Genomic DNA, 23,612 nt, shown 5'->3' with positions numbered 1-23,612 from the left:
CTACTCAGGATGAATTGAGGGGTTTTGTCTGCCTTGGGCACGTCTGTGGTCTCAGCACCTAGAACAGTGCACGGCACGACGGTGTGCAGATGTTCATTGATGTTGACAGTGGACTTAAAGCACAAAAATGGCTCTTTAATAAGTAAAATTTCACCTTGGTGTTGGAACTTGATTTATTAACACAAGGCCCCAAGCTCACCCCTATTATTAATTCATCACATATTTCAGCTGCCAGGAAACCTCTCTAGAAATACAACACGTGATGTGGTGCCTGGTTAAGACCATGGGCTCAGAGTGAATTTGGGATTCACCCAACTAGTTATGTGGCCTGAATTTCTCCCAGCCTCAGTTTCTCACTGTAAAATGGAAGTAATCCTAGTACCCACCACACAGAACTGTTGTAAGGAGGAAATGAGGGAAGGCGTGTAATCCCACTGTCCCTGTGAAGCCAAGATGAGAACAGTGATTTTTGCATACGGATATGTTGTGTACGCACAGCCCTGGCCAGACCAGGAAACTCTGTCACCCCTGATACACTGTGATGAAACCACAACCCTCATCGAAAACCATCAGCGTGTCTGAGAGGCATCAGAGCCAAGCTCTACTGATGGAAGATGCCCCTCTGCTGGTCATTCCCCCTGGGCCACTGTCTGTCCCTCTGGAGGAGAGAGACCAAGAGGTTTTAGGTTTAGGTCTGGGGAGGATCGACAATATCTCTGTCTCTTAAGGCCTCCCTGGAAAAAGAGCTTATTTGGAAGGGAAAATAATAGCAACAAAAAAGGCAAACTACAGAGGAAGAGCATAACTGCAGAATATTCCTAAACTCCACCACTTGGGTGTGTGCAGAGATGAGACTGTTTAAATTTTTTTGTTTTACCTGCCCCATTTCCAAAACGGGGTATTGTCCTCTCTGATGTGTGTTGACCCACATGTAACACTAAAGAGCTGTTCAGATTTCCCAAGAACCCACTCTCACAAAAGGAATATTGAACAATGTAGACTTTGCATAGCATTTCAAGAGGTCCCACAGGGTTCCACAGGAGGATGAGTTTCCATGGCACTTGCCCACAGCAACTTTCTTTTATTTATTTATTTGAGATGGAGTTTCGCTCTTGTCACCCAGGCTGGAGTGTAATGGTGCGATCTCGGCTCACCGCAACCTCCACCTCCCAGGTTCAAGTGATTCTTCTGCCTCAGCCTCCTGAATAGCTGGGATTACAGGCATGTGCCACCACGCCCAGCTAAGTTTGTATTTTTAGTAGAGACGGGGTTTCTCCATGTTGGTCAGCTGGTCTCAAACTCCCAACCTCAAATGATCCATCTGCCTCAGCCTCCCAAAGTGTTGGGATTGCAGGCATGAGCCACTGCGCCCAGCCCTAGCAACTTTCAAACTCTTTATTAGACATTTCTCTGAAACCTTCTCATCAACCACACCACCTCCACTTCACCAGGCATTTCTGTCTCAGCTCCTGCCCCATGAAATTCCCAGCTCTGCTGGCTCCTCTCTTTCTCATTGGGTTTTTCCTCTTCCAACCCCCACTCTTCAAATTCTTCTGTAGGGCTGTTCAGCTCCTATTACCTCATATTCCAAAACTGGCATGTTTCCCAAGATGGCACCAGCAAGATGTTGTCCATATAACCATGCCCACCATTGTTAGAAGGCAGTTGTGGTTACAGATGGCAAAATTTCCCCAATGACATCTTAATATTTTGCTTGGATCCCATAGTGAGCATAGTTGTTTGTCAATCAGCATCCATTCACCCCTTTTCAATTGTACCCATGTTCCCCTTCTAGTATCTACCCTCCTCCCTTATCCTACCCTTATCCCAGCTCCAGTGGTGAGACCCGATCAATCCGAACCAATCAGAGTACTCCTATTTCCTTTGCCAAAATGCTTCGGTCAGGGATGGATAGGTAACTAATTAGGGCCAATGGAAGGTAACAGATAGTTTGAGAATTTCTGGAAAAGGGATTTCCTTGCTTTTCTGTATGCACTATAGAATGCCCACTCTCGGCCGGGCAGGGTGGCTGATGCCTGTAATCCCAGCACTTTGGGAGGCTGAGATGGGCGGATCTCTTGAGGCCAGGAGTTCAAGACCAGCCTGGCCAACATGGTGAAACCCTGTCTCTACAAAAAATATAAAAATTAGCTAGGCATGGTGGCAGACACCTGTGATCCCAGCTACTCAGGAGGCTGAGGCATGAGAATTGCTTGAACCCAGGAGGCGGAGGTTGCAGTGAGCCGAGATCACGCCACTGCATTCCAGCCCGGGTAACAGAGCAAAACTCCATCTCAAAAAAAAAAAAAAAAAAATACATGCCCACTCTCTCCCGCTGGACCTGAAGAAGGAGTCTTAGTCCTGATGTCTATAGCTGCTGTCTTACGATCTAAGATGAAGCAGCCTTGGGATTGACAGAAGGAAATGAATAAAGGAACCTGGGTCTTCAATAATGTTTTTGAACTTCTGGACCCACTAGATTAAAATCAGTTCTACCTCTGATGTTTAATTACAATATTTGACCAGCTACTTGTTTAAGTGAGTTTCAGTTGAGATTTTTGTTTCTTGCATTCAAAGGCATTCCAACTGATATTGGCCCCATTGTTTCCTGTGTACTGATCTTAATATCCAACTAGACCACAAATTCTTGGAAAACAAAGACTTAGATTTCTTTTGTATTTCCCACAGCAACACTGCAAATATGGCAGACGTTCAATGAGTATTCAACATTGGGCTGGTTTGTTATTATAAGATCCTTGAAGTAAGGAGCTAGGTCTTCCTTGGTTTTTGTGCATTCACTCTGAAGTATTGGCTTGAACCCAGGCATCTATCAATAAATAATTATAAGTTAATGAAAATAATAGCTTTGGATATTCTGAAATTTTAACCACTTGGGAATCATGATTATAAATTACAGCTCTGAGCCTCAGAATTTAAACATACTTTTCCATCTCCATCCTCCAAAATCCTAAGAATCAACTTCCTAGACCAAGCGCGGTGGCTTATGCCTGTAATCCCAGCACTTTGGGAGACTGAGGCAGGTGGATCGCTTGAGCTCATGAATTCAAGACCAGCCTGGGCAACATGGCAAAATCCCATCTCTACAAAACATACAAAACTAGCCAGGCATGGTGGTGCATGCCTGTAGTCCCAGCTACTCAGAAGGCTGAGATAGGAGGATCACTGGAGCCCAGGAGATGGAGGATGCAGTCAGCCAAGATGGCACCACTGCACTTCAGCCCGGGTGATAGAGCCAGAACTTGTCTCAAAATAAGTAAACAAATAAATAAACAAACAAACTTCCTCAAAGGCAGAATCTGGTCAAACCCCCAAATCTGTAGAATCTTGATGGTTTTTAATGTCTTATTGAATTTGGAAATTGTTTTTAATGAACATATTCATGAATTTTAAAGAAATGACCCCCTCAAGGTTAATTCAGCTAAAAATTATTCAAAGTTCAAGAGAAATAAAAACTATCTTACTCAAGCAACCAGCCGGTGAGTGGCAGCTCCTCTCCCACGGGGTGTAAACTGCATGGGTTCAGGAACTATCCTGCAAACAAGATATTCAGAAGGATCCAGAGCCTTTGCCAAAATCACAGCACACAGCAGCACTGTGTCAACTCATACCAGACTTGATGGCTCAGATCTTTAGCAACTACACTTTCACTTGCATGGAAAGCCTGCTCAGAAGGCACATGCTTCCTCCTGAGGCCTTCAGTGAGATTCCAAGTGCACTAAAGGACCTGTCATTTGTGCTGATTTTAGGGAAAGTAGAATATATTTGCTAGGCTTTCTTACAACACATTACTATCCTCCCGTGTTAACACAGAACAGCGTCTTGGTGATGTATGCAAGATTTCCCTATAGATCAGTGATCAACCTACAGATTTCTCTTCCACCCTCCAAGCCCTCTCTTTAGCCTCCCCCTATGCCTGGAATCCCCTGCCCCTCATCTAGACACTTTTGACTGCAAAAGAGTCTTCTGTGCTGTCATTCTGAGGGCTCCTGGAGTCTACTGCGTCCAGGTAACAATTCCTGATTTCCCAGGAAATAGGAAAGTTTTCAGGAACCCTATCCAAATATGAACTTCACAGAGTTCCCCATCACTCAGCACCCCACAGACTGCATTTACCAATATGGAAATACTTAAACATAGGTATTTGTTAATGTCTTCAATATGTTTACCGATACCTTTATTGTATCATTGGTCATATGCTTCTAAAAGGCAATGATCTGGTCAGATTCACTCAAACTGAACAACAGAGAAAATTCATAGAGCAAGTGAGGGCTTCATTCTTCCTTCTCCTTTATTTTGTGTGCTGCGTTTCTGGCATCCAGTGTTGTGGAATACCACTGGCCTGTGTCATCTGCTTCTCTTCCCCACTCCCCTATTTCAAAACACACCTGTCCTGTGCCCCAGTGCCTCAAAGCTCTGCTCTCTGCTAAATTTTCAAATAAGAGACATGATGATTAACATCTTAATAGTTATCCCATCCCAGTTGACATTAAAGTAGGACAGATGATGGGAATTTAGGTAACATGACAGAGAGATTTTGGCTTTGAGGGCCTGCAGAGTTCCATCATCTGGGCATCTATTTACATTTAATTGTGAAAGCCAGCCTTAGAAAGGAATCTGCCACGATGCCTCACAAAAAGCAGAGCTTTAAGAGATGTTTTTAGTAACAGGGCAAAAACAACAATAATCTCATATACCTACTTCTTCTGCTGTTTACAAAGCACTTTCACATATATTATCTAATTTTGATAATGATGATGATACACACACACATACATGAAAATAAAATGGTGGAATCCAAGTGGCTCTTTAAGCGTGCCACTCAGCAAGTTACTAAACAGGACCGCTAAGCCATTTGTATTTTTTAAGGCAATTTTTACAAGTATAGGGAAGGTTGGTAGGTTCACACTTCTACTTCCTCTAAATAGAAAGGGGCTGGAAGCCATTCTCTTCTTATTTTTTGTTGCATAGCTGTATGCTAAGAGCATCTCCACACCTTGGAATGTTTGTGGGAGGGCAGGAGAAGCTATTTCTTCCTGCTATGAAACCTGATAGCAAAGCCAGCAAGGTGTCAGGAAGCAGTGCCCCCTCAGCAGAGGAGACCTTTAAGACTTGTGACCCTCCAGGAACACACAAAGGGACATATCCTTCCTCCTCCCCTCCCCTACCACCCCATCACTCCATTTAGGATGCGATAAGAAAAGTGACTTCATGGAGAGGATGAAAGCTGGGGACCCAGAAAAAAGGAGCTTGATTTCGCCAGGCATTGCCAGCACGCTAAACCTAACCCAGGAGAGGCGCTTCCGGCCAGGACCTTGACACAGGCACACGAACACAAACACCACAGGGGTGTGCCTGCCCAGCCTCCAGGTGGTAGTGCAACTCCTGCCTTCTCCCCAAACATGTGTGTTCACAAATCCCCGGATCCCAGTTGGGAGTAGGAGGCAGAGAGTGGAAAGGCAGGTCAATCAGATACTCAGACATTGCCTGAGATGAAACAGCCCAGGTGTGAGGCCAGAGGCTAGGTGGCTCCGCATGAAAGAAAGGTAGCAGCTTTTGTTTGTCTAGAAAACGCAGAAGGGGAGGGCTGACATACTCAGGATACCTGTTTCTCTAGTCTTTTCATCGAAACTAAAAGTTCAACTCCTCAAATCATTGGAGAAATGTGAGCTTTCAGACATCTCATGGCTATAACAAATTCTAGCCATGGTTTACCAAAATCTCACTCTTTCCAGAATACCCTAGGAGATATAAAGCCTAGTGAGGTGAGGTTTTATGAGAGGGGTCCTAAAAAGAAGGTAAGAGTATTGCACCCCCACATTTTAGTGTTTCTCAAACTTTGTTCCATGGAATACGTGGGGTTCCATAGTTAGACTAGACTGGGAAATGTTACATATGAGTCTCCCCTCATAAACATTCCCAGTGCCTGCAAACGTAGTCAATGCCTGTTGGATGGATGGATGGATAGATGTATGTATGTAGGTATGTATGGATAGATGTATGTATGGATGTATGTATGTATGGATGGATGGATGGATGAGTGGATGGATGGATGGATGGATGGATGGATAGATGTATGTATGTAGGTATGTATGGATAGATGTATGTATGGATGGATGGATGGATGGATGAGTGGATGGATGGATGGATGGATGGATAGATGTATGTATGTAGGTATGTATGGATAGATGTATGTATGTATGGATGGATGGATGAGTGGATGGATGGATAGATGTATGTATGTAGGTATGTATGGATAGATGTATGTATGGATGTATGTATGGATGGATGGATGGATGAGTGGATGGATGGATGGATGGATGGATAGATGTATGTATGTAGGTATGTATGGATAGATGTATGTATGTATGGATGGATGGATGAGTGGATGGATGGATGGATGGATGGATAGATGTATGTATGTAGGTATGTATGGATAGATGTATGTATGGATGTATGTATGGATGGATGGATGGATGAGTGGATGGATGGATGGATGGATAGATGTATGTATGTAGGTATGTATGGATAGATGTATGTATGTATGGATGGATGGATGAGTGGATGGATGGATGGATGGATGCATAGATGTATGTATGTAGGTATGTATGGATAGATGTATGTATGTATGGATGGATGGATGGATGGATGAGTGGATGGATGGATGGATGGATGGATGGATGGATGGATAGATGTATGTATGTAGGTATGTATGGATAGATGTATGTATGGATGTATGTATGGATGGATGGATGAGTGGATGGATGGATGGATGGATGGATAGATGTATGTATGTAGGTATGTATGGATAGATGTATGTATGGATGTATGGATGGATGGATGGATGGATGGATGGATGGATGGATGGATGGACAGATGGCTAAATTAAATCTCTGGCCCCTAAGTGGTTGCATCTAGTTGTGCCCACCAGAAAACCTCCAGGTTGCCAATAGTTTACTTTATGAGCTATAACTTAGAGGTCAGCCAGCCTAGGATCTTTCAGATTTTTATTTATTATTATTATTATTATTATTATTATTATTTTGAGACAGAGTCTCCCTCTGTCGCCCAGGCTGGAGTGCGGTGACATGATCTTAGCTCACTGCAACCTACACCTCCCAGCTTCAAGTGATTCTCGTGCCTCAGCCTCCTAAATAGCTAAGATTACAGGTGCCTCCCAAGAAGCTAGGATTATAGGCATGCACCACCATGCCTGGCTAATGTTTGTATTTTTAGTAGTGACGAAGTTTCACCATGTTGGCCAGGCTAGTCTGAAACTCCTGACCTCAAGCGATCCATTTGCCTCGGCCTTCCAAAGTGTTGGGGTTATAGGTGTGAGCCACTGTGCCTGGCCAGAGCTTTCAGATATTTTAAAAACTTGTGCCTGTTTGATGCCTGCAAGCTGAATAGGTTCAGAGGAATTAAATAATAAAATTCAGAATTAGGGATAAGAGTCATTTGCCTGAGAAGTTGTATATTAGAAACCTCTTATAATAAACCTTCTCTGGGAGAAGATGACATCCTCCAGGGACCACTACAACTCCAGTGACCACCACAATTTCTGGCACACACTCAGTGCATGTTTGTTGAAGGAACAAATGAATGAATACATGAATTTCAAACCATCTCTCTGCAACTGAATTTGCCAACACAGGCACCAGGCTTCAGGCCGGTCACTTTTCCAGCAATTCTCCTGCTTACCAGCTTCATGGTGATGGCACCATAAATGACAAGAGCCACCAGCAGTTTGAAGAAGCAATCTCAGAGAGCTGGGGATACAGACCTCCCATTTCTATTAAAGTCTGTTTGTCCTCCCTACTTACGACTTTCAGAGGCTAACCTTCGAAACTTCTGACCTTACTCATTTGAAGGAATGCATTAAAATCACTGACTTCAGGTTTACACTTAATCCACACGTGCCAGAAGACCTGAGTCATGAACCTCCGATCATGGTACGAAGGACGTCTGAATGGTTCTCTCGGCCACTGATGCGCTCACAGCTCAAAAGAATGACATCAACAAAATGAATAAGAACCCCAGCCTTTGCTTCCCAGGGAAAATGAACTGATGGGGCTAAGAGCCAGTGAAATAAAAACAGAGGAGAGAGATGACACAAATAAATGTCTGAGTCAGTTGCTCACAGAACAGCCAGGCAACAATTGTGTGACTGCGCTCTCACCCCTCCTCACTCATTCCTTGCTCCCTGCACTGTGCAGAGTGCAGGGGGCATCCAGACCTGGAGCCGACCCAAGCCTTGGGGAGACTCACACAGCCCCACACCAGCCCTGCCGCCCTGCCCGGGTCCACTCCCTGCCTAAACACGCATTCAGCGAGACTGTCTGAATGTAATGCCACTAAATTGTACACCTAAAAATGGTTAAAATGGTAAATTTTATATAGGTATATATTACCACAATTTAAAAAGTAGAAAAAAAGTTTTATTACCAATTAAAGAGTAAACCCAGCATCTGTAATACATTAGAGGACAAGTTAGTCTTTACAATAATAATAATAGTTAATATTTATTGAGCTATCACTAGGGCTCCTTTAAATACATTCAGTTCGTGCAATATTGTGTCATTTAATAGAATGACATTAATACATAATATTAATTATATATTAATATGTCATTAATATATTAATATCCATGACATTAATATTAAATGTCATTTAAATATTTCAGTTTGTGCCATAACACTGAGGAAACTGAGGCACAGAGAGAGGATACCACTTTCCCAAAGACACACCGTGGTAATAGGGTAATAGTTAGAGACATTTATGTAGAGTTTTTAGTTTGTTTTATTGTTGTTGTTGTTTTGGGTTTCTTTTTAAAGACAGGGTCCCACTCTGTCACGCAGGTGGAATGCAGTGGTGCAATCACATTTCACTGCAGCCTTGAACTCCTGGGCTCAAGCGATCCTCCTACCTCAGCCTCCACAGTAGCTGGGATTACAGGCACTCACCACCACGCCTGGCTAATTTTTTTACTTTTTATTGTTGTAGAGACAGGGTCTTGCTTTGTTGCCCAAGCTGGTCTCAAATTATCCTCAAGTGATCCTCCTGCCTAGCCCTTGATACATAGTTTAATAAAACACTTGTGTTTACCTACTGGCAATCTACAAAAATGATGAGTGTCTGTCTGTCGCTCTCTCTCTCTCTCTCTCTTTCTCTCTCTCTGCCTCTCTCTCCTGCTAGGGCACCAAAATGTACCAAGAAGAGCCTAAATCTACTGGAGACTCAAATCGGCATTACCACTGCAGTTTTTGAGCATTTCTGGAGCAGATACAGCATTCCAAAACAATCCAGAAGTGTCACCTCTCCTCAGCCCACACGCCAGAACTTCCATGTAAATGCCTCATGTGGGCTTCCCATGGTGTCTAACGGATACTTTCAACTAACTGGGTCTTTCTTCCCTACCCTCTTCCAGATCTATGAAAATACCTGAGGTTTCCATTTCTGTGCCTCATTTATTGACTATTTCAAAGTCCAGTTGTTTCTCTGGAATTTTAACAACACAAGAACGATATCCACAAGACAGAAAGACAATAAGGGACCAACAGGAGACAATTACAGAATACTCATGAAGACTAAAAAAGGCTGAAATCATCATCATTTCCCATATCAGGGAGATAGTTACGACACTGGACAAATATCTAATGCTGCCTTTCAATCCTGACTCAACAACTTACTGAATCACTTAAACTCTTTGGCCTCAGTGTCTTCCTGTGTGAAACAGAAGCAGATCTTTGTCTGCTTCACAAGTTGTGAGAATAAAGAGAAAATGTTTGTTTATTTGCTTGCTTGCTTTTTGAGACAGGATCTAGCTCTGTTGCCCAGACTGAAGTATAGTGGCTTGATGTTGGCTCATTGCAGCCTCCACCTCCTGGGCTCAAGTCAACCTCCCACCTCAGCCTCCTGAGTAGCTGGGACTACAGGTATGTGCCACCATGCCTGGCTAACTTTTGCATTTTTTGTAGAGATAGGGTTTCACCATATTGTCCAGGCTGGTCTTGAACTCCTGGAGCTCAAGTGATCCACCCACCCCTGCCTCCCAAAGTGCTAAGATTACAGGCATAAGCCTCCATGCCCAGTGAGAAAATGTATGTTAAAGCACTTGTCAGCTCATGATTATAGGCTCATGCCTGTAATTCCAGCACTTTGGGAGGCCAAGGCAAGAGGATCACATGAGCCCAGGAGTTTGAGACCAGCCTGGACAACATAGCGAGACCTCGTCTCTTAAAAAATTTAAAAATTAGCTGGACATGATGGTGCATATGCCTATAGTCCCAGCTACTTGGGAGGCTTAGGTAAGGTAGGAGAATCACTTGAGCCTGGGAAGTCCAGGCTACAGTGAGCTGTGATTGCACCACTGCACTCCAGCCTGGGCAAGAGAGTGAGACCCTGCCTCAAAAAAAAAAAAAAAAAACCCACTTGTTAAACTGTAGAACAATATGTAAATAGTTACAGGTATACCTCATAAGCAAATCTGTATAAAAATAGTAGTAAATTAATAAGCATCACCACATTTCAAATGTAAAAACAGATTCTGCATTAGAAATAACCCATTTATAGAAACATCCTACTCACCTAAATTGTTTTAACATTTGATGTGAAAGGCCCTTACCAGACAGGATTTTGGTTTCTAATCTACTTAATGTGATTTCTATTTACTAATGAAGACCTTAGCTAAAGTTATTAAGGGAGGTTATCACTAATATCTTATGATAAAGTCAAAAAGGACAAAATATTTACCCTTTGTTGAAGCCATGGAGAATGAATGGATGGTCCAGCCCACTGGCTTGACCCAATGTTATGTTTTATACTTGAAAAACCGGCTGGGCGCGGTGGCTCACGCCTGTAATCCCAGCACTTTGGAGGCCGAGGCTAGTGGATCACCTGAGGTCCGGAATTCAAGACCAGCCTGACCAACATTGTGAAACCCCATCTCTACTAAATACAAAAAATTAGCCGGGCATGGTGGTGCATGCCTGTAATCCCAGCTACTTGGGAGGCGGAGGCAGGAGAATCACTTGAACCCAGGCGGCGGAGGTTGTAGTGAGCTGAGATCGTGCCATTGTACTCCAGCCTGGGCAACAAGAGCGAAACTCTGTCTCAAAAAAAAAAAAAAGAAAAGAAAGAAAGAAAGAAAAGAAAAATCCTGGACCAGGTGCAGTGGCTCATGCCTGTAATCTCAGCACTTTGGGAGATCAAGGTAGAGGACTGCTTGAGCCCAGGGATTTAAGACCAGCCTGGGCAACAGAGTGAGACCCTGTCTCTAAGAAAATATAAAAATTAAAAATTAAAAAAGAAAAATCCTCTCTAACATTTAACCTCAATTCCCAAACTACAAATTATAAAACGTAGGAATTGATGAGAGTTCCAGTTCCATTACCCAAAGTCACTAAAGGCTTATCCCAGAGGTATTTGCCTGTCACTGTCTTTTCTATGGCCCTGAACTTAACTTGGCAGGGTTCAAAATGCCCCACGAAGTTTTGTTCAAGTGGACAGCCCTCCGTTCAAGCACCCATCCAAATGCCAATATCTCCCAGGAGCAAAAGCCCTGGGCACTTTTCCAAAAACATGGGTGAAAGTTCAGAATCACCCCCTTTTTGTGAAGACTTTCCGTAATGATCTTCCCAGAAAGTCCCCCCTTGTTTCTAGCTCTGATTTTACCTCCCCAGAACATCTACTCACATCTTACAATTATTAACAACTTACAACAACAACACACGTTTGCCAAGAGTCAACTGCATTCTCTGTTCTCTATGACACATGTAAAGGCATGGCCTATGCCTTATGGGCTTGTGATGTAAGTAGGACAAGAAATAATATTTAGATAAGACACCAGATCAAGAGGCTGATAGGATTCAAATATGTGTTGTTCCCCTCCCCGCTTCCTGCATTTCAGGACAGATCTTCAGAAAGGAGCCAGGAGTGAAAAGCTGGATCATTCAGACGAGAGCCTTTGGGGGAGACAGATGTTCAGGAGGAGTCCAAGGGACAGCTTTGGGCTGAGGAAAGGCACTGAGAAGGAGAGTGGGAGGAAATGAAGGCAGAAGCAGAAGGAGCAGAGGAGAGGTATTTAAAGGGCCTGAGAAATCACAACCAGTCGCCCTCTGTGAGATGGCTTGAAAGTGCTGTGTGTCTCCCTCCAGAGAGGACAGAGGTAGAAGAGTGGCCCCTCTTCCTGAAGTCCTGTCTTCATTTGCTACTGCTGAGATTTTCCTAAGAAAACAATTTCAAAGTATCTACATGCAAAAATGTTCCTGGTCCCATCAATAACAGAAAATCCAGAAACAATCAAAATGTCCACCAAAGGGATTGGTTAGACTTAAGTATTCCCATTTCCTGCCTCCTCCTTCCCATATTTAATTTCTTTTCAGACTCCACACATAAGTGGCAGCATGCAGTATTCTTCCTTCTGTGCCTGCCTTATGTTACTTAACATATTGTCCTGTAAGTTCATCCATTTCGTCTCAAATGACAGAATTTCCATCTTCTTTGTAAAGGCTGAATAATATTCCATTATATGTGTATAGAGACAGATAGCTATACTGCAATTTCTTTATCCACTCATCTGTCTATGTACACTTTGGTTGGTTCCCGATCTTGGCTATTGTGAATAATGCTGCAATGAATGAGGGAATGCAGATACCTTTATAAGGTGGTGATTTCATTTCCTTTGGTCAAAAGGTACAAAGTTGCAATTATGTAGGATAAATAAGTTAAAGAGATCTGATGTACAACATGAGGATTATAATTAATAATATTGTATTATATACTGGTAATTTGCCAAGAGAGCAGATTTTAGCTGGGCATGAGGGCACATGCTTGTAGTGATGGCTACTCAGGAGGCTGAAGAGGGATCCTCGAGCCCAGGAGTTCAAGGTTACAGTGAGCTATGATTGTGCCACTGCACTCCAGCCTGGGTGACAGAGGGAGACCCTATCTCAAAAAAAAAAAAAAATTAAATCAAGAGTTTGCTTAGTACATTCAGGGTGTCCACATGATCAATATTATGCAGACATCAAAAATGATCATTATGAAGGCAATGTATAAACATAGGATATAGGTGGGAGGAATGGATAATATTCAGTGAGTATGTTACAATGAGCTTGCCACAATGCCAAATAAATGTGTCTTTATTTGTGGACCAAAACTAGAAAATATGAAAATATATAAATGCTTCTATCATATGAAGATGGTAGTATTATGGGTTTTATGGGTTTTTTACATTTTCTTCAGACCTTTTTTTTCACCTCATTGCTGCCAGTGTGCCTTTTCAAACTTTTTTAGCATTATTTTTATATCCACTTTTTCCATTTAAAATGTCTCTAAGGCTGTGGTAGTTTCATTAGTGGAGACATCCTTCCTGTGTAAATCCAAGTATCTCAGAAGGCAAGAGGATGGGAGAAGTTGTCTTCCTTTTTGAACACCCACCAATAGTCTAGACTGCTTTCACATGGAAGGGGTGCTAATTAGTAATTTTTCACATTTGCTAATGAATAAGTCACCTCGGGGAAAATTGATAGAGGTGTAGAACACAGGTCACTTGTGGGGCCCAGAAGTGAGTTATTGGCTTGGAATGGAAGCTGTGAAAGTTGAAGACGATAAACAGCTACTTGGACCATTTGCCTCAAATTCTGATCACCCATCTCGTCAGCAAAGGCCACAGCTCACTGAGGTTACTGTGGTTTCACCAGGTTTCCTCATTATTTGGAAAAGACCTGAGCTTGCCATTGCTAAGCTAAGTTGAACTATTTCACTTGGCCTAATTTTTCTGGTTATTTTATTTCTTAAAACTTAGCACCAGCTGAGCTTGGTTGCTCACGCCTATAATCCTAGCAACTTGAGAGACTAAGGCTGGCGGATAACTTGAGGCCAGGAGTTCAAGATCAGCCTGGGTGACACAGCAAGACCTCATCTCTAAAAAAAAAAAAAAACAATTAGCCGGCTGTGGTGGTGTGCACCTGTAATCCCAGCTGCTCTGGAGGCTGTAGCGAGCCTGGAAAGTCAAGACTGCAGACGGCAGTGAGTAATGATCACACCACTGCACTCCAGCCTAGGCAACACACCCAAAATCTAAAAAATAAGTAAAATGAAAAACTTAGCACTTATTTTTATTATGGATAAAAACAAGAAGGTGCTTGGCAGAAACAGCACAGCCCAGAGGAAAAAATGGCCCTATTGGTTTCTACCACCCTGATCCTGAATCCCCTGTGACACACAGGGTTAGTGTTCTCTCTTTATGGCTAACAAGTTTTGCTGACCTAGTAGTATTTAGGCAGGACAAGTAAGGCCTCAGGCTTAGGAAGCCAGATGCCTGGGGATTTGTAAGGGAGAGCCCTGGGAGCCTTCCCACGTTGCCCACCTGCACAGAGCTGTGTGCCCTTAAGCAAGTCACTTCACTCACTGAATCCTTCTTTCTGCATTAACTGGAGGATGATTGACACCCAGCCTGTGTTCCTAATACCATCACCCATCCATTGACCAGACACTGTCTTTAGAATCAAATGAGATAGCAGAAAAGGTTTTTTTAAAGCCTTTTACCTATGCTACAGAATAGTATTAAATAAACCAAACACACACACACACACACACACACACACATTTAAGAGGGAGTGGAGGGCGTTTCAGGCATATTAACTGCCCCAGGGACTGACAATGAGGATATAAAGTCCCTATAAGCCAAGGTCCAGGGCTGTCCTGTGTTAGCAGAGCCCTTGAAAGAGCTACCACAGGTCCCAACTAACTATTTAAGAACAAAGGGGAAAACACAACCCAGAAAACCAGAGAGAAGAGAAAAAATAAATAAATAAGAAACCAGGAGTACTGGTGCTTCTGAGGGCAGGTGGAAAGCACAGCCTTAGCCCTGGGGCTTTGATGACATCAGCACTGGCCAGAAAGGAGCTCAGCACATCTCCCTGCCCCTCCCACGGGTTCCAACCCCGCAGTTGCTCACCGCCAGCAGGGCCGGCACCTGAGTCACCCACTTGTCAACGCCCTGGGTTTCCCTTGGACTCCTTGCCCGCCGGGGCTGCCAGATGATGAGATCATAGCACTTGACAAAACCCTGTCTTTCAAAAGCACTTTTATCCAAATGATTTTTTTAAAAAAGAATTTAACAGGCATTATCTTACTAGCTGTCCCATCTTCGGCAAGGCCCACAGCCTGAATACATTAAGGTGTGTTCAGGTTTGAATACACCTTATTTTTTAGGGCAGTCTTAGGTTCATAGCAAAATTGGGCAGAAAGTACGGAGCTCTCACAGACCCCTTGTTCCCCCAGCACGCACAGCCCCACCCACTATCCGCATCCCCACATCCTGCACCAGAGTGCTACGTTGGTTACAATCCAAAGTCCATAGTCCGTGTTAGGGCTCACCCTTGGTGTTGTACATCCTATGACATATTCAGTTTTCAAGGAGAGAAACAGGCAACAAGGGTTCAGAAATGCACACCCTCTCAGTAGAGCAAGGACTCCACCCTCCCCAACCAGGACAGCCTTCTCTCCATCCTTAGTGTGATGCTTTCCTTCTTCAGCCATAAAGCAAGGGAACACTTGATAAGTATTAACGCGTAGGGAAAGTTTTTTCTAAAGCAGAATCATCTAAACTAGTGCTCCTCAAACTTTTACTTGAATACAAATCCCTCGAGAGTCTTGCTAAATCCAGATTTGGCTTGAATAGGTCTGGGACAGAGCCTGAGCTGCTCCAACAAGCTCCCAGGGGATGCCCACGCTGCAGGTGATCAGACCATATTTTGAGGAGCAAGGCTCTGTTTTAAAGGAGTGGCCACAGGGAGTGGGAGCTTTCAAGTGAGTGGATTGGGCCAAATCATACCTCTGCCAATGGCTGGATCTAAAACAATGTGATGATCAAACCTACGTTGCAGGACTCAAGAGGACAATGAATGCAAAGTTCAGTTCCGAGCTGGCACTCAATGACCTGAGCGTAACTACTGTTACTCTCCTTTTTGTTACTATTAGTATTATTATTATTAAGGCAGAGTCTCACTCTGTTGCCCAGGCTGGAGTGCAGTGGTATGATCTTGGCTCACTGCAGCCTCCACCTCCCAGGTTCCAGCAATTCTCCGGCCTCAGCCTCCCCAGTGGCTGGGATTACAGGCATGTGCCACCACGCCCAGCTAATTTTTGTATTTTTAGTAGAGATGGGGTTTTGCCATGTTGGCCAGGCTGGTCTTGAACTCCTGACCTCAAGTGATCCACCCACCTTGGCCTCCCAAAGTGCTGGGATTACAGGCATGAGCCACCACACCTGGCCTGTTACTATTATTATTATCACTCTTCTTCACTCTTCTTCTTCTTGTTTTTGTACTTGCCCAGGTGAGAGTACAGTGGCACAATCAAGGCTCACTGAAGCCTCAACCTCCCAGGCTCAAGTGATCCTCCCACTTCAACCTCCTGAGGAGCTGGGACTACAGGTGTGTGCCACCATGCCTGGCTAGTTTTTTTAAATTTTTTGTGGAGACAGGATCTCCCTATATTGCCCACTCTAGTCTCAAACTCCTGACCTTAAGTGATCCTCCCACCTCAGCCTCCCAAAGTCCTGGGATTACAGGTGTGACCACCATGCCCAGCTTCATTATTCTTTTGGCTGATTTTGATCAGTTTTCCTTTACCCATCTTTGTCTCAAAAAGCATATTATCCACTTTTGGATAATTTTACATTAAATTTTACATTAATTTTACATAATCTTACAAAGAACACCTCATAAAACCAGATTAGCTTGTAAGGTCTAGGCTGTGAAATTAAAAATAAATAAATAAATTAGCATATGAGTTCACTGAATCATGTAGACCAAAATTTTAAATACATCCAAAATCTTTTCTTTTACTCTGCTTTTGAGGAAAATCAAAAGACAGGGTTCTCCCCCTGCCTCTGATCTCCTCCCTCAAGGCCCTGATCTGTACTTCAGCCTTTCCTGTCTGGCCTCACATGCATTCACTTCAATAACATCATGTTAGATCTGGACAGAACCTTCAGAGCTCCCAGCCCATCTTCCTCATTTTAATAAGATAATTGAGGCCCAGGAAGATTAGATTATTTGCCCAAAGTGATAGTTATGTTTTTTGGAGCCAGGAAGAGTTATGTTTATATCATGTTCTTTAAGAAAGGTTTGCACATAATAAAAGACAACCTTCATATACATGGGGGAGTGTGAGGGGAAGAATGGTGTACAACCGCACACCCCTAAATCACGTGCAGATAGAAAGACAACCCTCTAGATTAGTGGTTTCCAGGATGTGGGATTTCACAAGCCAGAAAAAAAGAAAGAACTCTTAGTTGAAGATTTTACCAACTTCCGGCTTTGTCAAGAGAGAAATTTTTTTTTTGTAATTACAATTCACTAGACCATCATCCCATAAAAGAAAACCTAATAGCAAAAAGAGAGAGACAGTGAATGGGCATAATCCCAGAATAAAAGGCATTCTTAGAATTGTAGCTTTATGAGAAGCTGAATTGTATCTCCTTATTTTTCTTATTTTGTTACAAACCAAGCAATCAGAAGTGATCCCTTGTTCTTAACCTACTTTGCATTACATGTGCCTTTGAGAATCTGATGAAAGCAATGAACTTTTCCCCGGAAAAATGTGCAGACCTATATACATACAAAATATTATCTCACACCTATCAGAATGGTTATTATTAAAAAGTCAAAAAATAACAGACACTGGTGAGGTTGCAGAGAAAAGGAAACACTTACACACTGTTGGTGGGAGGTAAATTAGTTCAACCATTGTGGAAAACAGTATGGCAATTCCTGAAAGAGCAAAAAACAGAACTACCATTCAACCCAGTAATCCCATTACTGGGTATATACCCAGAGGAATATAAACCATTCTACCATAAAGACATATGCATGCATATGTTCACTGCAGCACTATTCACAATAGCAAAGACATGGAATCAACCTAAATGCCCATCAGTGACAGATTGGATAAAGGAAGTGTGGTACATATACACCATGGAATACTATGCAGCCATAAAGAAGAACAAAATTATGTCCTTTGCAGGGACATGGATGGAGTTGGAGGCCATTATCCTTAGCAAAATAATGTAGGAAGAGAAAATCAAATACTGCATGTTCTGACTTGCAAGTGGAAGCTAAATGATGAGAACACATGAACATAAACAGGGGAACAGCAGACAATAGGGCCTCTTTGAGGGTGGAGGGTGGGAGGGGGGAGAGGAGCAGAAAAAATAACTATTGGGTACTAGGCCTAGTACCCAAGTGACAAAATAATCTATGCAATGAACCCCCGTGACATGAGTTTACCTATAGAACAAACCTGCACTGTACCCCTGAACCTAAAATAAAACTTTAAAAATGGAATGTAATAAAAATTTTACAAGTAAGTCCACACTTTGGCAGGCCCAAGGTCAAGATCACCTGCTGTTAGCTGATGACTTAGTCTCTGCCTGACTAGTGACTTCACCCTCTGGTCATCCTTAATTGTTCTGAGGTCCTGTGCAAGCTAGAAAAGACTCAGAATCTAGCTGAGCAACAGAGCAAGACCCCATCTCTACATAAAAAAAAACAAGTTAAAAATAAGAAAAATAAGCTAGGCATGGTGGCATGAACCTGTGTCTCAACTACTCTGCAGGCTGAGGTGAGGACAGATCACTTGACTCCAGGAGTTTCAGGCTTCAGTGAGCTATGATTGCGCCACTGTACTCCAGCCTGGGCAACAAAGCAGGACCCTGTCTCTAGGCGGGAAAAAATAACAAGACTCAGAAGAAGGTTCCACATTCAGGGCCTGAAGCTCTCGGGATTAGTCTTCTGTAAAGTGGCATGAATCTTCATAAACGAGAATAAGAAGGAGCTTCTTCTCCTTTGCCCAGACCTTGACCATCAGTGATACTGCCAAATCCAAAAAGATCCCCCAAAGCCCCAAGCCCAGAAGCTCATCTGGGTTCAAGACCAAAAAGCTCCACCTGGTGGTGTCAGATCATGGGAATTCTGGGCAATAAGCCTGGGAAGAGGGAGGGCTGCTCTGAAACCTGGCCAAGGGAGACGGTTCATCGGATCTCACACGGTTCCTCTCCAGGCCCCGCCAAAGAGGCAGGAAAAGGTAGCCGAGATGAAAGTTGGCTCAGGTCCAGCTTAGCGAGCGATGATGTAAAAATGGGGTGGAAGGTACCTAAAAATCCTGGTCCAAAAAAAGGCTGGTGACATCCAGAAAATGAAGAGTTGGCAGGTACACACAAACCATGATATATGTGCATGAAACTTCATCACAGCTTGCTTCTGAGTAACAAGCAAAGATGTAAGATGCTTCTTGACTTTCAGCTGCCGGCAGACACTCAGGACAGCTCAGCAAGGCTTCTCAGCAGCATCTGTCTTAAGACAATCTCAGCCAGGAGAGGTGGCTCACCCCTGTAATCCCAGCATTTTGGGAGGCCGAGGCAGGCAGATCGCTTGAGCTCAGGAGTTTGAGACCAACCTGGGCAACATGGCAAAACCCCATCTCCACAAAAAAATACCAAAAAAAAAAAAAAAATTAGCCGGGGTGGTGGTGCATGCCTGTAGTCCCAACCACTTGGGGGGCTGAAGTGGGAAGATCACTGGAGCCCAGGAAGTCGAGGCCGCAGGGAGCCAAGATCACACCCCTGCTCCCCAGCCTGGGTGACAAAGTGAGACCGTCTCAGGAAAAAAAAAAAAAAAAAAAAAAAAAAAAGGCAATAAAGACAATCTCCATCTACGCCTACCTGCACCATCCAGCTACCCACCCCAGCTGTGGTTCCCAAGGTCATCATGCAGAACACAGGAAATCGTTCTACAATATCCCTCTGGAAGAGGGATATTGGCCTCTCTGGAAGAGAGGCCAGAGAAAGAAGAAGGAAGATCTTCCTTGCCTTCAGTGCCTGTATATTAAAAGGAAGAAAATCAAATTTGCAACCTACCTATCCCTTCCTCACTCCCACCCCATAAAATACTGTAGAGTAGTTTATAGTATACCTTACTGTATATCTTAGCTGTGTTGCAAATGGATTCAGTTGCTCTTTCCTTAAGTCTGTACCGATGCCTGGCTCTAATATCTATAGCATTTAGGAAGAATGGGGTAGGCTAAACAGATGTTATTAACAGGAACAGGTCTCCCTGGGTGCATTAACAACCCTTTTTTTGCAGACAAAAGCTGAGGAAAATCCTTAATGGTTTCAGGGCTGGGAAAAGGCAAATGATAGGGTGTTAGGGAAGTAGGGAATCCTTCAAGTCATTAAAACCAATTCTTTTCTCAAGAATGCCAAAAAAGGTGCTAATTTGCCATATTTAAATGTAGATGAATGGTAAATTCAGACATTTGGCAGTGGATTAGATAGCCATAGGTACCTGAAAATGGCCCCTTCAGCCCCACAGGGGTTTTAAGATCCTGGTAGTGCTCTATTTCTTAAACTGGGTGGTGAGGACCTGAGGATTTGTGTTCTTTTTGAGACAGGGTCTCACTCTATTGCCCAGGCTGGAGTGCAGTGGCACAATCATGGCACACAGCAGCCTTGAACTCCTGGGCTCAAGCGATTCTCCCACCTCAGCCTCCCAAGTAGCAGGTACTACAGGTGTATGCCGCCATGCCCAGCTAATTTTTGTGTTTTTTGTAGAGACAAATTTTTGCCATGTTGGTCAGGCTGCATTATTATTCCTTAAACTGTACATATGTAAGATAAATCTTCTGCTTTTTTGTATGTCTCATTAACATAAAAATATTTAATTTTAAAAGTCTCCATTCCCATTGCCAACTCTACTCCAAGTTAGTAGGACGAGACTTCTGGATCGGATTTGAAAGTGTCACTCTTTTGGCCAGACACGGTGGCTCACGCCTGTAATCCCAGCACTTTTGGAGGCAGAGGTGGGTGGATCACGATGTCAAGAGATAGAGACCATCCTGGCCAACATGGTGAAACCCCGTCTCTACTAAAAATACAAAAATTAGCCAGGCGTAGTGGCGCCCACCTGTAATCCCAGCTACTCTGGAGGCTGAGGCAGGAGAATCGCTTGAACCTGGGAGGCAGAGGTTGCAGTGAGCCGAGATCATGCCACTGCACTCCAGCCTGGGACAGAGCGAGATCCCGTCTCAAAACAAAAAAAAAAAAAGTGCCTCTTCTTGTCTCTGTCCCTTTAGGTCTCTTCCTCTGTGTTTCTTTCCTTTGTTTGGCTTCCTGTTTCCTGACCCTGCTGGAATGTGAGCAGCAAACCTCCAAGAACACAATCTGTGAACAGCTCTCGCCTGCCACAGAACTTAGGCCCGCCTCAGCCTCCGTGTGTTCAGGAGTGAGGCTGGCCAGAGACTCCCTTCCCTCCGTGGCCCAAATGGAGGGATAGACAAGATGAACAGAACAAAGCCATCCCTCCCTGGGACCCACCACCAGAGGTCTGGGTCGCAGACACGAAGCTGTTTGACTCCGTTTCAAGAGCCCAAGGACAGTCAACAAATGACAATCTCTTCCAGCCCTGCCCAGCACTAAAAGGGGTGACAGGGAGCAGGTTCTCCAGAAATAGCCTGCTCGAGTTCTCTGTAGTGCTTGCTCTTTTTTTTTTTTTTTTTTTTTTTTTTTTTTGAGACAGAGCCTCGCTCTGTTGCCCAGGCTGGAGTGCAGTGGCACGATCTCGGCTCAGTGCAACCTCTGCCTCCCGGGTTCAAGCGATTTCCGGCTAATTTTTGTATTTTTAGTAGAGACAGGGTTTCACCATGTTGGCCAGGCTGGTCTTGAACTCCTGACCTGAAGTGATCCACCCGCCTCGGCCTCCCAAAGTACTAGGATTACAGGCGTGAGCCACAACGCGCAGCCCGCTCTTTTTCATTCTCTCTTCTCTCAACACAAATGTCAGCAATCAGTTCTAAAAGCTGCTTGGGCTTGACAGGTAAGGAAGCATCCAGTGCAGGGAAAAGGCCCCGAGTAAGGCAAAAAACAAACTCACCTTCCACTCTGGAAAAGAAGAGCAGGAACCCGAGACCCCCAGCCCTTGGTTAAAATCAGCCCTGCTGGAAACAGCTTTGTTGAGTCCATGAGAAGGTGGAGCTGAGACAAGTGGCTGCGTGAGCCCAGCTGCTGTGGAGGAATCCGCTCAGAGGAGATGGGGCTGAGATCATGCATGCCACCAAGTGCCAGCTGCAGGTATTTGGGGAGTATCAATTAAAATAGCATGTAGAGGCCAGGCACGGTGGCTTATGTCTGTAATCTCAGCATTTTGGGAGGCTAAGGTGGGAGGGTCCCTTGAGTCCAGGAGTTTGAGACCAGCCTGGGCTACATAGCAAGATCCCGTCTCTACAAAAAAATTAAAAATTAGCTGGGCATCATGGTGCACATCTGTAGTCCCAGCTACTTGGGAGGCTGAGATGGGAGGATGGTTTGCGGCAGGCAGGTCAAGGCTGCAGTGAGCCTTAATCACATCACTGCACTCCAGCCTGGATGACAGAACAAGACACTGTTTAACAAAGTAATAATAATAAAACAAAGAGGGGCACACGTACTCAGGACCTCCTGAGGCTATGTCATAGGCAAAAAAGTAAATAGATAAAAAGAAAAAAGAATGTAGATGGTAGTAAAGTAACCTCCAGCCAGCCATAATTGAAGGAAAGAATAAGTTAGAGAACCCATCTTCTTTGAAATGCAAAGCAGTTTAAAGGAACTGGTTAATGGTGATTAACAGCCATTGAGGGTTTGAATGAAACCCAGAGAAATGACAGAGTGAGTACTTTCTGCTCCAGCACAAATGATGTTGTAAAAAGGATGGTCAGACCCTCCCTTGGGCTTACCGCTGCTGGAGGGCAGATGTGGGTCAGTCTCACCTCCTGAGCAACATAGCCACCTCCTCTGCTGTCTTCTCCTCTTTATTTATTCATTCATTCAAATCAGAGATGGGGTCTCTCTCTGATGCCCAGACTAGCCTTGAACTCCTGGGCTCAAACAGTCCTCCTGCCTTAGCCTCCTTGGGATTATAGACGTGAGCCACCACACTCGGCTTGCATTTTTTTTGTTTGTTTTGTTGTGGTGGTGGTGGTGGTTTTTTTGTTTGTTGTTGTTGTTTGTTTGTTTTGTTTTGAGACAGAGTCTCGCTCTGTTGCCAAGGTTGGAGTGCAATGGCGCGATCTCGGCTCACGGCAACCTCCGCCTCCTGGGTTCAAGCAATTCTCCTGCCTCAGCTTCCCGAGTAGCTGGGATTACAGGAGCCTGCCACCACGCCTGGCTAGCTTTTTGTATTTTTAGTAGAGACAGGGTTTCACCATGCTGGCCAGGCTGGTCTCGAACTTTCAACCTCAGGCAATCCGCCAGCCTCTGCCTCCCAAAGTGTTGGGATTACAGGCAAGAGCCACCACGACCGGTCTGCTTTTTTTTTAATTAAAAAATATTTAATTGACAAATAAAGATTGACTAATTCAAGATGTACCACATGATGATTTGATGTACGTATACGTGGTATGATCATGGCCACAATCAAATCAGTGTCTCCGCCAGCACCCACGCTGCCGCACGCTGTCTTCCGCAGCTGGAAGAGCTTTTCTCAGCTACCAATAGAGGCCTATTTTGGTTACTTATTTAGAAGTTACCATTATTTCTATCATTAGTGGTATTC

General features: G+C 44.0%; 1 long non-coding RNA gene across 1 annotated transcript, besides 2 other annotated features; it reads right to left on the bottom strand.

Annotated features, from left to right (window-relative positions):
* Positions 1 to 2,471: 2,471 nt before the first annotated feature.
* On the bottom strand, positions 2,472 to 22,927 carry LOC105372017 (uncharacterized). Its single transcript, XR_935279.3, has 3 exons — positions 22,795 to 22,927; positions 21,957 to 22,147; positions 2,472 to 2,827 (listed from the first exon to the last, which is right to left on the bottom strand). It is a non-coding gene; the product is annotated as an uncharacterized LOC105372017 (long non-coding RNA).
* Positions 19,940 to 20,547: an enhancer, noted in NCBI's record as "NANOG hESC enhancer chr18:19798242-19798849 (GRCh37/hg19 assembly coordinates)". NCBI's record gives its function as "activates a minimal SCP1, AML or CMV promoter by ChIP-STARR-seq in naive H9 embryonic stem cells {active_cell/tissue: H9 hESC(naive)}" and the evidence as "EXISTENCE:reporter gene assay evidence [ECO:0000049][PMID:30033119]".
* Positions 22,343 to 22,992: an enhancer, noted in NCBI's record as "NANOG hESC enhancer chr18:19795797-19796446 (GRCh37/hg19 assembly coordinates)". NCBI's record gives its function as "activates a minimal SCP1, AML or CMV promoter by ChIP-STARR-seq in naive H9 embryonic stem cells {active_cell/tissue: H9 hESC(naive)}" and the evidence as "EXISTENCE:reporter gene assay evidence [ECO:0000049][PMID:30033119]".

Source organism: Homo sapiens, chromosome 18 (assembly GCF_000001405.40).
Source record: "Homo sapiens chromosome 18, GRCh38.p14 Primary Assembly".
Lineage (NCBI taxonomy): Eukaryota > Metazoa > Chordata > Mammalia > Primates > Hominidae > Homo > Homo sapiens.
This window is presented reverse-complemented; position numbering and strand designations above follow the sequence as displayed.